We start from the raw sequence: 15,138 nt of genomic DNA on the forward strand, positions 1-15,138 counted from the left end.
TAAAAAATAAAAGTAACATGCATATTATATTTCTATGTGCTCTGCAGTATTCACAATACTTTCTTTCCTTCTTTCCCTTTTGTTTTTTTTTTTTTTTTTTGAGACAGGGTCTCATTGTCACCCAGGCTGGAATGCAGTGGCTCAATCACAGCTCATTGCAGTCTCCTGGGCTCAAACAATCCTCCTGTCTAGGCCTCCCAAAGTGCTGGGATTACATGGTGTGAACCACCATGCCCAGCCCACAATACCTTCATATATTACAGTGCTGGATTTTGAAAACTAGCTCCTAAGGTAATTAGGGCCAGTATTACTAGTTTATAGATAAGAACACTGAAGTTCATAGAGCTTAACTGTATGGCATAATATCACATAGTGACACAACAGGGGCTGGAACCTAAGTCTCTGAACTTACTGCTCACTGCTCTTTCCACTATACCACAGGGCTGCTATACTTTTGAAAAGGACATACCACAGTGCTTGTAAGTATTTTTTGAATAAAAGAACGCTACCACGTGCTTTAGAGTAAAGAAAATTTTTACCAATGCTGTATTATCAAAAAAGAAAAACAAACATTTATGCAATTCACTGGGACAATAAAAATTGCCAATGACTAATAAACATGTTGGATTCTGACCAGCACAACACTAACTTTTTATTAATCTAAAAAGGAACCAGTATTATATACTGATTTACACATTAAAAGTCACAATCACTGGTTCTGAATTTTGAATGGCGTGATTGGTTTATGTCTCAAGATCCTATCTAACAAAAAAACAAAAACAAAAATAACGTTTTAAGCAGACATGTACAAGGCTCTGAAGAATGTCCACGCTCTAAATTTTTATTATAGTTTGAGTCAGTGTTTATACTCAGAAGCTCTAATTTCTAGCTCATTTCTAAATTAACAAAAACTCATGAGCTATATACCAAATCATGAAACAATCAATAATAGTTCTGAATTTTGATACCTGTCACTAAATGTAATTTGAAATTTACCTAAAAGTTACACGAAATTATATAGTCAGTGCTGATCATTACTGACAAGAGGGAAACAGTGCAATTTTTTTTTTTTATTTTACTTTAAGTTCTGGGATACATGCACAGAACGTGCAGGTTTGCTACATAGGTAAACATGTGCCATGGTGGTTTGCTGCACCTATAAACCTGTCACCTAGGTATTAAGCACCACATGCATTAGGTATTTGTACTGATGCTCTCCCTCCCCTTGGCCCACTTCCCCTGACAGGCCCTGGTATGTGATGTTCCCGTCCCTGTGTCCGTATGTTCTCATTGTTCAGCTCCCCGCTATGAGTGAGACTATGCAACATTTGGTTTTCTGTTCTTGTGTTAGTTTGCTGAGGATGATTTCTAGCTTCATCTATGTCCCTGCAAAGGACATGATCTCATTCCTTTTTATGGCTGTATAGTATTCCTTGGTGGATATGTAAAAGTTAGTGGGATTTTATGAAAGGTTATTATTTTAAATTGACTGGAATTTGAGATTGTTACATGTAATCTCTGAATACTGCACGTACACTATAGGTCAGTGCTATTAAAATATGAACTTAAATACTGCCCCTTAAGTGAGGAAAGTGAATGCAAACTTGATGGCAAATAAAGAAGTTTGAAACAACAAAGATAAGTCCACTCACCCAAGTATCCAATCAGAGCGGCCCCAATTGTCCGTGCAGATCCATTAAGATGTCCTGCTGAATTGTGTATCAACTTCACAGGAGTGGCATTCTCATGTGAGGAAATGCCTAACTGAAAAATAGGAAAGGAAAAGAATGTAATTATATAAGAACAGTTTCAATGTTTTGATTGGAAAAGAAACCAAACACATGAATGGTAACATATCTTTTCTCTCCTCCCTTATCAGAATACTGAAAAACGAGCATTTAGGTCCAGCCTGGTGGCTCATGCCTATAATCCTAACACTTTGTAAGATAGAGGCAAGGGAATCGCTTGAGCCCGGAGTTTGAGACCAGCCTGGGAAACATGGCGAGACCCCCATCTCTACTAAAATGCAAAAAATTAGCCAGGTCTTGTGGTGCATTACTCAGGAGGCAGAGGTGGGAGAAACACCTGAGCCTAGGAGGTCGAGAATGCAGTCAACGGAGATTGTGCCACTGGCACTCCACACTCCAGCCTGGGAGCATTTATTTTTGGAAATGTACAAACACTTCCAAAGTGTGGAAACTCACAGGAGGTAAGTTAAACACAATTTACTGAGATAAAGATGGTGAGAGGATCTTGAGACACAGCTTCAGGGGTCTTTGTGAATGAAGTTCTTTGGTAGTTTAAAGGTTGTTATCACTAACTGCCTCACAGTATTTCAGATCAGTGAACATATTAGCTTTATTCCATATCCAAGTAAACATAAGTTATCCAAGAGTTTATAGATAAAACATGCCTACATAAAGGAATCTTACATTTTGTACATTCACACATACACAAGATCTATTTTCAAGGCAAATATAACTTTAATTCTGTTGTTCACTATAGAGTTATGTGAAGTTTATGTTCCTTAGATATGTATATGTGTCATACATACACACACACACACACACACACACACACACACACACAAAAGCTCTGCGTAAGAGTTGTCAATACTTACAGTTCCTGGTCTCTTGATATCCTTCCCCTTGGACTTTGCCTCTGATAATCAGCCAAAATGGCTTGTCAAGCTCACTGATGAGTTCACCTTGCTAAACCCCATAGTCAGTCCTCACTTCTTATCTTACTGTGACCACTTAAGTCATTTCCACAGTGAATCCTTGATCTTACAACATTAAGCCCTCCTGGTTTTTCTCCCTTCTCACTGACTGCTACTTCTCAGTCTTTTCTGGTTCTTCTTGATCTCCCCAACTCCATAACACTGGAACGTCCCAGGTTTCAGTCTTTAAAACTTTCCATTTCCCTATCTACATCTATGCTTTGGTGAATACATGTAGACTCATGGCTTTAAACACCACCTGTATAAATGAACTCCAGATTCGTATTTCCAATGGCCTTGAAATCTCTACTGTGATGTCTAATACACTTCTCAAACTTCTAAAACAGAATTCTCAATATTCCTCCCAACTCTACTCTTTTTGTAGTTTTCTCCAAATCAGAAAATGTGACTCCATTTTCCTAGCTGTTCAAGAAAAAAACCTGGAGTCCTTAACTCTCTCACCTTCCACACTCATTCCACATTCTATCACACAAAACTGCTAGGTCAACTTTTAAAATATACCTTGAGCCGGGTGGGATGGCTCACACCTGTAATCCCAGCACTTTGGGAGGCTGAGGCAGGTGGATCACCTGAGGTTAGGAGTTTGAGACCAGCCTGGCCAACATGGTGAAACCCTGTCTCTAATAAAAATACAAAAATCAGTTGGGCATGGTGGTGCATGCCTATAATCCCAGCTACTCAGGAGGCTGAGGCAGGAGAATCACTTGAACCCAGGAGACAGAGGTTGCAGTGAGCCGAGATCACACCATTGCACTCTAGCCTAGGCGACAAGAGGCAAACTCCATCTCAAAAAAAAAAAGTGTATATGTATATATATATATATATATATATATATATATATACACACACACACACACACACACACACACATACACACCTTGAATCTGATCACTTCTTATCACTACCACTGCTACTGCCCAAATTAAAACCACCATAATCTCTCATAGGAATTATTTATCGCATTGGCCTCATAACTTGTCTCTCTGCTACTACCTTTGTTTCTCTTCAACCTATTGTCAATAGAAGTCATAGTGATAAAATGTAAGTTACAGCATTTCCCTCCTATGTCTGAAACTCCATAATGCCTCCCATCTTTCTCCATCAGAGCCAATGTCTTTACAATTGCCCCATGAATCCTAAACAACCTAAGACCCATCGTCACTCTGGGCTCCTCTCCTACTGCCCGGGCCCTCTCTAATTTTACTGCATCCACATCTGTCTCCATGGCAGGTACGTACAGTACACTTCTCAGGGCCTTTGCACTTGTATTCCTGGAATACAAAACACTCCCACACCCATAGGTATATCCCATGCTCCCTATTCCTGTGGCCTGTTACCTCATCCCTGTCAAGTCTTTGCTCAAAATTAACCTTCTCAGTAACGTCTCCTTGGACCACCATATTAAAAACTTGAAGCTTCTCTCTTTCCCCTTCCCTGCTTTATTTTACTGCATAGCACCATCACCTTCTAACATACTTCATGATTAGGTTATTTCTTTAGGTATTATCATCTGTCTTTTCCACTAGAATGTAGGAAATATAAAAGCAGAAATTTTCTTTTTATCCACTGCTATGTCCTGAACTGAATGTCACCTGGCACATAATAGGTCATTCGTTAAAAAGTTGAGTTGTAGCCTTAAAAACAGTAATTGTTTTCATTAGTTTTCTAAAGTTAAATTTCTTAATTGCCAATATAAATAAATTAATATGAATTATGTACTCATAACAGAAACTGTCACTTTTCCAAATTAAGTTACATATCTACATGTGTTTTGGCCTACATTTGAAGTCAAATTAACCAAACATAAACAATACATGAAAGGCATGATTTTTAGCAGTCACTCATAATTGAGTAGTATCCATATGAGACTCTGAGACATGTTCCCAGTGAGAATCAGCCATAGTACACCAAGAAATCATTCTGCTTACCTGCTTAGCAATGGCTTTGCTATCCAATTTGTTATACACTTTCCGGATTCTTGCCACTGTTAGAGACGACACAGAGAGTGCATAGAGGCCAAATGACACTTTCTCCTCTGGTACTAATGACACAGGGGATGGCACCACCCCTTCGGATTTTGCATCTTTACCTTCAAAAGAAGAATAATTCTTTTCAAAATCATCAGTAGTTCTCATCTTAAAGTAAGTTTTTTATTCTTACTATCATTTTTAAATGAGGAGGCTTGAAAGTCTTAAAGTAGAATAAGAGAGGTAAATTTAAAAACTATCTTCTCAGCTCTTCATTTATTTCTTTAATTAAAAGATGGAAAAAGAAATCTAGTCATAGAGTTCTACATTCTAAGTGCCACTCTTAAAACATGTTTAACATATAGCACAACGTAAAGGATGAAAAGTTTTAACTGTTATCTGACAAACTGTAAAACATGTCCCCCTAGATTCAAAGGAAAAAGGAATGAAGATGAATAAAATGCTGATCAGCCATGTAGCACTATGTCCCCTCCCCTAAAAAAGCACTCAGATATGCCTGCCTGTATTCTTTGAGACCACAAAGCAGAGGAGTTATTAATAAAGGCATGTGTTTTAAAGCTACATGGCCTGAGTTTGAATCTTGCTTTATCACTTAAAAGCTGTGCGACCTATATGTCTTTGTGCCTCAGTTTCCTCTTCTGTGAAATGGGAATGATAATGACAGTACCTAACTCACAGTGTTTTGAGATGAATAAATACATGTGAAGGGCTCAGAACAGCTACATCCTTCATGTGTATTGACTTATTTAGCACACAGTAAGTGCCCAAGAAGTGTTAGCTTTTATTAGATACCATCTAAATTAAGAATGAGTGAAAAGATAAATTACTAAATCTTAGGATTATGACCATTTACAATATACTTGTCCTAACTCTTCTGAGATTCTTGGTGGAATCAGAACAAGGGAGTGGAAGACCATCATTTGCAAGGAGTACTACCAAGGAACTGCCAGCTTAACATCAGTTCCTCTGAGTCTAAATTTCATTTGGGAGAAAGGATAACAAAAAGTAGGCTTGGAGTAAAGAAATGAGGAAAAATAATGTTAAGTGATCTCATCTAGAGAATATGTGTGTGTGTTTATTGAACCTATCTGTTCTTCCTTTAACAGGGGTGGCTATACTTTAAACTGCTTCATGTAATAGGAGAAATCACAGAAAGAGAAGAGTGTCACAGTTAGACTCCTAGAGGGCATATACCTATATCTCAGAGCCAGTAAGAGAAACTGGATAATAAGCGATCAGACATAAAGACAAAGAATCCAGAAAGTGCAGTATAATCAGTGGAGGAAAATATTTTCAATAGGAGTGAGTATCCTGCTGAAGAAGATTAGAGGAGAAGGCGCTTTTCCTAGATTAACAATATGTATAACCTCAGACACACACATGCATCTATATTGCAGGAGTTAAGTTTCATACAACTTCAAGAACTAAAAATAAGTTACTCACATGGCATACATACAGCCTGAAAGCTTCCAACATAATTTGGTCCAAGTTCATAAATGGTAGTAACATTTGAAGAAGGTAAAACTTCTTCTAGAAAATGTGTGGGTCCCAGGCGCCAAACCAATGAGGCAATTTGGCGTTGGGCAGGTGGAGTACCAATGTAGGCATAGACCGTGCTCACCACTGGTGGATTTGCCGAACCTGAACCCCCTGGAGTACTGTGGACATAATGAAGCTGTAAGGAAGACAAAAGCAAATGTGTGAGATGTGAACACTTTCCCCAGGAAAATAACTACTTCAGCATATGTATTTTCATTATCCCAAGGTCACACAACTTTACAAATGCACAAAAACATTTGGGGTGGAGAAACAGGAAGGGCAAGGCACGATACTGGGATCTGTAACTGAGGACCAGGTATAGTAGCTAAAACTTTTATCCAACTCTCTAACACAGATAAACTCTTTAATGCTAGAAATGGCAACAGGCAAATACAGGGATACTGTCAATGGCTGGTTTGCACATCAAGTTAATGACGCTTCTCTGAAATTTTTGTGCTGATATAAAGAGAGCTTTCCACTATGGAATTAAAGTAGTCTTGAAATTAGGTATGTTACCTTCAATGTGAGTCTGTTAACTAAAATTACTGATGAAAAGCGTTTTATAGGGGTAAATTATTATAATAAATATATAATTAAGTACAGTATAAGAGATAAAGAACTTAAGTTGCTTTTTCTTGCTGAAGCAGCTTAATGGGATGAAGGACACTTCCATTAACTGCTGTGTCATAATAACATCTCAGCTTCAGATCCTATTCATTATTCTATATATTAAACAGCAGTTCTTGGTGATGTTAATAGCACAATTGTGAAGACCAACATAAGAGCTAGAGTTGATTTCACAGTACTGTGACTATTGACAGGGACAGTGATGATGATGTAAATAAATCAATAATAAATTTCCTATTGCTCAACTCTAGAAGCTGAGGGCATTTTTATTTTTAATGACACTAAAATTAATGAAGGAGCAACGTACTAGAGAATCTACAAACCCATTTCAAATGCAATCATGTATACAAACAAATCAATGACTATTCCACAAGGTGCATTTTAGGGTTTATCATATTGAAACACAATGTCACAATAAAATATCATCATCATCAAGGAAGGAAATATATTCAAAGATACTGCTGGTTTCAGTGCTTTTCAAACTTTAATTCACACACAAGGACAAACTTTGTCTTTGTTACTTCTTTCAAGTGATCGCCCTAAAATGGATAACTGGCTATATCCCAGCATTTTGGGAGGCCGAGGCATGAGGATCACCTGAGGTCAGGAGTTTGAGACCAGCCTGGCCAACATGGTGAAACCCCATCTCTACTAAAAATACAAAAATTAGCCACGTGTGGTGGCACATGCCTGTAGTCCCAGCTATTTGGGAGGCTGAGGCAGGAGAATTGCTCATACCCAGGAGGTGGAGGTTGCGGTGAGCTGAGATCGTGCCACTGCACTCCAGCCTGGGCGACAGAGCAAGACACCATCTTAAAAAAGGAAAAACAATAAAAATAAAATAAAATAAAATAAAATGAATACTATCTTTTAGAAGGTCAAGAATTTTCAGAGCTTGCGAACTGAGTTCTGTACAAAGTAACAAGCAGGATTTATTCTCATTCAGAAAAAGGGAGTTTCACTTGTTTCTTTACTTGATAATCAACTCTTTTTTTCTATTCTAAATACTATCACAATCTACAGTAATGTTTATGTAGTCATTCATTCAAGAAACAATAAACTAAATACCTACTATCATTATCAGGGACTAATCTGGGTGATATGAAAACAAAGAAAAAAAAACAATTCTAGCTCTAAAGAATGTAAGTCTTCTGGACTAAATTACAACAACAATAATGAAGTGGCAAAATAGTGTGTTCACCGTTATTTATGAATCCTTCAACTGGTTCCTCTATTATGAAAAAGCACCTAGCAATCTGGCTTAAGCTCTTGCATATTCAGCAACTTCTTTAGTACCTATAAGCCCTCATTTCTATTCTTCTCTAATAAAATGGTTTAAGAATTGGCCACATGAGTCTAACATATTATTCAAATGGGTACTGAATATCAACTTAAAATTAAGAAAGTAATTTTAAAAATATCCCTGTAACACACACACACACACACACACACACACACACACACACCCCCCAAACTACTACCTTATAAAACAGGTAGATTTACAAGTGCACATACACTTACCTTTACAGTGTTAACAAGCTGTCCATCAATATAAAGGGCTGCAGTACTGTTTTTCAACATGCCTTTGCTCATTACCAGGACCAAATGATGCCACTGTCCCTCAATGATAAGCTCTCCACATCGAAAGCGAGCACAGCATGGGAGAATTTCATAAAATGAGGACTCTTCACTAAAATCATCAACTGAAATAAAGGGGGGAAGACATAAAAACTTTTTCCAACACCATCCCTATTCAAATTATTCATATCTAGATCAGCATGTTTTGACTTTATGTTAAAACAAAATAATGATGCAGACTGATTTGAGTAATAATACAACTCTGGAAAAAAAAATGATAATGCGGGTTGGGCACGGTGGCTCACACCTGTAATGTCAGCCCTTTGGGAGGCTGAGGCGGGCGGATCACCTGACGTCAGGAGTTCGAGACCAGCCTGGCCAACATGGTGAAACCCCATCTCTACTAAAAACACAAAAATTAGCCAGGTATGGTGGCGCGCGTCTGTAGTTCCAGCTACTCGGGAGGCTGAGCCAGCAGAAATGCTTGAACCTGGGAGGCAAGAGTTTGCAGTGCTGAGATTGTACCACTGTACTCCAGCCTGGGTGACAGAGCGAGACTCCATCTCAAAAAAAATAAGTAAATAAAAATAAAAAGATAATGCAGACAGAAGATACCTTATTCATGCAATACCCTTACCTGCAGTAAAGTGAAACCTAGAATGTATTTTTGCTCTCTTCTGCTCAAGAAATATAGGTATAATCACATAAAGTTACAATGAACAAAAGTTAGCTAATGAAGTAAAAAATACATAAAAATAAAGAGACAATAACGTTATGATAAACACTAAAAAGAGACTAGTTGACACCCAAAACAAAAATAAACAAGTGGGACTATCTCAAACTGAAAAGCTTTTGAATAGCAAAGGAAACAACAGAGTGAAAAGGGAATCTATGGAATGGGAGAAAAATATTTGCTAACTATGTATTTCATAAGGCAGTAATGTCAAAAATACATAAGAAACTACTAGAACTCAATAGTAAAGAAACTAATAATCAATTAAAAATGAGCTAAGAACTTGAATAGACATTTCTCCAAAGAAGGCACATAAATGGCAGACAGGTATATGAAAAATGCTCAATGTTACTAATCATCAGGGAAATGCAAACCATAAGCACAATGGCATATCACCTCACACCTGTCAGAATGGCTATTATCAAAAAAAAAAAGTGTTGACACAAGTGTTGGCAAGAATGTGGAGAAACTGGAACCCTTGCGCACTGTTGGTGGGAATGTAAAATGCTGCAGCTGCTATGGAAAACAGTACAGACGTTTCTCAAAACACTGAAAATAGAACTAACATATAATCCAGCAATACCATATCTGGGCACTTATCTAAAATCACTGAAATCAGGACTTCAAAGAGGTATCAGTACTCCCCTGGACAGATGAGTAGATAAAGAAAATGTGGTACATATATACAATGGAATAATATTTAGCCTTAAAGAAGAAAATTTTGCAATATCTGACAACATAGATGAAGCTTAAGGACATTATGCTAAATGAAATAGCCAGTCATAGAAAGACATATACTGCGTGACTCCACTTATATGAGGTATTTAAAATAGCCAAATTCAGAGAAACAACGAATGAAATGTTGGTCGCCAAGGGCTTGAGGGAGGGGCAAATGGGGAGTTACTAATCAAATGGCAGGAAGTTTCAGTGAGGCAAGAGGAAAAAAAGCTTGAGATTTGCTCTACAACACTGCAACTATAGTCAACAATAATGTTGTTGTATGACAATAATGTTGTATAACAACAATAATGTGTTGTTAACTTTTTGACATTGATTTGGTTACAGTATGGGTTAGAAAAAGAACCGAGAAAAATGTAAAGTTTATTCTTGCTATATGCTATGCTCAACGACACAAGAGGACAACTATCTATTATTAGTGGCTGTACTGTCCATAATAAAAGGCAGTAAGAAGGAGATGATTTACAGCACAGACTAGTGATTTGTTGATCCAAGTTTCCTGCTTCATCAGACAACTTTGTCCCACGTATATAAATATATTCTGATTTGCTACCATTCTACAATTACTTCCTGACTCCAATCTGGCTCCTTTTTGCTACCCTATATGTTACCAGACCATGCTAAGAAATAATGGTTTCATATTAATTTAATTTTATTGTTAAGCTGAACAAAAATTAATTTACCTTTTATCAGTACTTAACAAATGGCAAGACAGCGGTGGAAAACCAGATTTTAAATACTCATTTTAAAAAAAATTAAGAAGAGCTAACCTGTAACCATATAATTTAAAGCAGATCCAGTATTTTTCACTGCATGTACAAACAAGTAAATATACTGAAAGTAAAATTTATGTGATATGAAGAAGAAAATGCAAATAAAATATTTATTTCTATTTTTAGAATCTTAAAATATCTGCACATACTTAAATACCAAGATTATATTTTAGAATGGCAATTCAGAATATATGTCTGTTGATAAGACTATTACACAGGTAAAAATCTTATCCATGAGGTGACTTGATATAGGAACTGAATAAACTAGGCAGAAAGCAGGGTCCTAAAGCCTTGAAAGGTCTAGTGTTATGGACCAATGGAGGTGAAAGTAAATATGAACATATGGGTGAAACAAGGAACTTGTCCCTCTTCCTTCCCTGGTTCGTAGACTGTAAGTCTTCTCAAGTATTGAAGAAGATATTCCTTACAAACATTTGTGAGAGTTTCACTTTCTGACTTAGGTTTGAACTAAGACATTTCCAGCACTGAGTGGTGTGTCAGGATATCTCAGTGAGCCAACTGGTTTATGACAACTCCTAATCTCCTAGGCATCTTAATGGGTTACAGCTGTTCGGAGAATGAATCCTGGCAATACTAATGCATATGTTACCGTCATTTCTAATCATATATGGACTATAGCAGCCTGGCAAATTACATTTAGTAATAAAAATGAGATAAGAGTTAGAAAATATTTTCCTAGTTTACAGATTTATCTCCAGATCCACTCCTTAACTTTCCCATTAAATTCTAGGGTGTCTTCAAATTCCCCATTATTATTCACTTTTCTCGTTGTTTCTTCCTCAGACCATTCATTTCCTCTATTCATGCATTTATAAGTTTACATAATATCTGCATGCCTAATACATTCTAGGTACTGTGTTAGATGACAGGGCAGCTTAGATTACAAAGATAAGCAGACAAAACAAATTAAAAATTAAAATCTATGAAGTCTAGATAAGAGATGAAGATTATTAAACAAGTGCTATGGAAGTGGGCACAGGGAGGAAGGGAAGATTTGAGAAATATTAGGGAGGCATATTACAGTAAGACTTAGTAGAAAGGGTGGTATTTTCAAGTTGACTCAGGTTTCTAGTTGGGCTAACTGGCAGTGGTTGTGTCATTTATCAACACAGGAAAACAGAAAGAGATGTAGGTTTTTTGTTTTTGTTTGAAACTGGGTGTCTCTCCTAGGCTGGAGTGCCATGGCACCTTCACAGCTCACTGTAACCTCAAACTCATGGGCTTCACCAATCCTACACCACCTCAGCCTCCTAAAGGAGATGTAGGTTTTATAAAGAAGAAATATTAGAATCTGAGATGTTTATTGGAATACTGTTCATATGGAGATGTCTAATATGCAGCTGGAAATATGAGGACATAGCTTGGGACATAGACAAATGAAAAAAAAACTTTGACTTCACAGTCCTTGAGATAAAAAGACTTAAAGCAATACTAGTTCATTATTTTTTCCCATGAAGAGCTGGTCAAGTACAAAGATCAAAGGTGAAACACTGGAGAATACTACTTCTGAGGGGCAGATAGAAGAGAAAGCGATTGAAGGAAATTGCAAAACAAAGATCAGAGAAATAGTGAGTATTCTCAAATGCAAGACTGGAGGTAGTTTTAATTAGGACGAATTAGTCAACAGGACTACATGCTACTAAAGGGGCAAATAAAGCGTCATAACAAGAATTTTAAAGTACTAACTATATTGATGCCTAGCTCTGTGCTAGGTACCATGAGGAATACTACAACCTTACAATCTAATTAAAAGACTAACATTCATATTATATTAATATTTATTGAACACCAACCACATGTCAATTAATATGTGATATTATTTTACTTAGCTAAAAGAACAAAATTAGATGACCAAAAAAATCACATTTATACAAAATGCTTATATTCTTGAGCAAAGAAAATTAAGTAAATTGAGATTTATATTTTAAATTATTTATCATTTAGCAGGATCTTCATGAATGCCTTGAGTTTGGAGTTCTACTGTACAGCACTGTAAAGTCATGGCATGTTGGAGAAAACTAAGGAATTAGAATTATAAAATAGTATGTATTACATCTTGAAGGTAAGTGATGGATAAGGTAATTGAAATGTTATTGTGGCTAGCACAGTGTGGCACATATGGCAGGCAGGTGCTCAATGAATATTAATTAATTAAGCAGAATTCACAGCCAATGATAATCCTTACCAAAATACATCAAACAAGCAACCTGCTTTCCTAGGAAAAGCTGTGATTTCTTGGCAAGTAGAGATTAGTCCTTATTAGGTACTCACTCCCTCCACTGTTTTGTAAGTCTCTTTTGAAAGTGCCTTAAAATTCACTGGTAAGCAATATTCAATGTTTTATGTAACTTGTTCTATGCTATAATAATTTAAGCTGAAAAGTTATTATTAGCTGGACTTTTAAAATAAATACAAAAATGAAGTTTTAATACTTCTATAATCAAAAGAAGAAAACAAAAAAAAATACTGACCATAATTTTGGAGGAGTTCCTCTTTGGTGGAAACAATCAGAGATCGGTCTTTTGCTGATAGAACTATTGCAAGGCACACGTAATGTTGCTCAGAAGAATTTGCTCGGCGCACAACAGTAAGAAGTCTGACAGGGTGGTTATTTGGAGGAGAACTAAAATGTTCAATACAAAACCAGCTAGAGTAACTTAAGCCGGAGGGAGGAGGGAAGAATCTTTCACCTACAGTAAAAATTAAAAAAAAAAGTCTGTGTTGATTAATATTTATATTTTTTAAAAGATGCCAACAAAAGCAAATAAACTCTAAATTATATATAATCTACTAGAAAAAAAACTCATAAGCAGAAAGCAAATATTACTTACCAGAACCAATGCCACTGACCACAGCCCCATCAATAAGACCTGTTGTGACGGTATTATTTGTAGGAGCATTATGAGGGGCCAAACTGGGCAAAAAAAGACATCTATTAAAGAAAAGACAACATACATATTAGAGATCAATGACTCCTTCTCTTAACACTGTGCACTTACCACAGTGAAATAACTGCCAGTATTTAATGGTGACTAGAGAAAAGATCATGGAATAAATCTGGATGCCTCGCAAAGCCCTTCCCTTCTTTTAATTATGTAAGGGTATCAAAAGACATAATTTTAAAATCTCCCAAAATAACATTTTTAACTTAAAATAAAAAAAAATGAAGATACAAAATGCATATGGCAACATACTCTAACGTATAAACCCAATCAAGACATTAGAACAATTTCATCACTGAAGGAAAACTCCCATGTGCCCCTTACTGTCACTCTCTTGTTACCACTGATTGCTTTTGACTATTCCCAATCATGTTTTAATCTATTGTTTGATAATGACCCATGATAATATTCTTAAAACACAGAGGTTTCAATCAATATAAGAATCCCACAAACAACTAGTATAGATAAAAATTATGAATTAACACTCTAAGCCTGGGCACAGTGGCTCACGCCTATAATCCTAGCACGTTGGGAGGCTAAGGTGGGCAGATCACTTGAGGTCGGGAGTTCGAGACCAGCCTGGCCACTATGGCGAAACCCCATCTCCACTAAAAATACAAAAATCAGCCAGGCGCGGTGGCGTGCGCCCATAATCCCAGCTACTTGGGAGGCTGAGGCAGGAGAAATGCTTGAACCTGAGAGGCGGAGGTTGCAGTGAGCCAAGATCGCGCCATTGCACTCCAGCCTGGGTGACAGGGCAAGACTCTGACTCAAAAGGAAAAAAAAAAAACAAAACTCTAATAGCTAACAGATCTAGCTACCAGATCTATTAGCATTTGTGTCTATTTTAGGCTGTTGAACTTCATGAATTCTTATAGATTTTTTAGATTCATTATTGCCATTTCTGTTACTATAATCTTTTCTGCCACTTGAAATAATTTATTCATTTGAAGTGACAGTCATTGAATATTTATAATGTATAAATTATTATACTAGGTAATTTGAAGGATAGATGATGATAAAACCCAAAGAGTTTTCAATCTAATTTTAATTTATATATTATCTATACATTTATATTTATTACATTAGATGTTGGCAGACTTTTTCTGGAAAGGGCCAAATCATAAATATTTAATGCTTTGTGAACCAGGCAGTCTCCATCATGACTACTCAACTCTGACACTCTAGCACAAAAGCAGCCATAGGAAATATAAATGAGTGTGGCTGTTTTCCAATAAAACTTCATTTACAAAAAAAAAAAAAATTTGCAAAAGTGTTACTAACAAAACAGATTTGGTCCATGGGCCTAAGATTTTGGATTCCTATGTCATATCAATTTATTTTGTATAACAAACAAAAATAATTAAATGTAGTAATCTTAAAATAGCATGCTCAAAAAACTCAATAATTAAAAAATATTAAGTATGGTAAAATATATTTTAATTAAGTATATTTAAAA

General features: G+C 36.4%; 1 protein-coding gene across 29 annotated transcripts in view; it reads right to left on the bottom strand.

The window, feature by feature from the left end:
• The window catches only part of WDFY3 (WD repeat and FYVE domain containing 3), a 297,094-nt gene that overhangs the window by 111,714 nt on the left and 170,242 nt on the right, over positions 1-15,138 (bottom strand). For all 29 annotated transcript variants that reach the window (XM_011531759.3, XM_047449858.1, XM_011531763.4 and 26 more), the window contains 6 exons: positions 13,569-13,669; positions 13,209-13,427; positions 8,416-8,597; positions 6,172-6,403; positions 4,669-4,829; positions 1,653-1,764 (listed from right to left, as the gene is read on the bottom strand). In XM_011531759.3, the coding sequence (XP_011530061.1) occupies positions 1,653-1,764; positions 4,669-4,829; positions 6,172-6,403; positions 8,416-8,597; positions 13,209-13,427; positions 13,569-13,669 (1,007 nt within the window). The remainder of the gene's footprint in view (positions 1-1,652; positions 1,765-4,668; positions 4,830-6,171; positions 6,404-8,415; positions 8,598-13,208; positions 13,428-13,568; positions 13,670-15,138) is intronic.

This window comes from Homo sapiens, chromosome 4 (assembly GCF_000001405.40).
Source record: "Homo sapiens chromosome 4, GRCh38.p14 Primary Assembly".
Lineage (NCBI taxonomy): Eukaryota > Metazoa > Chordata > Mammalia > Primates > Hominidae > Homo > Homo sapiens.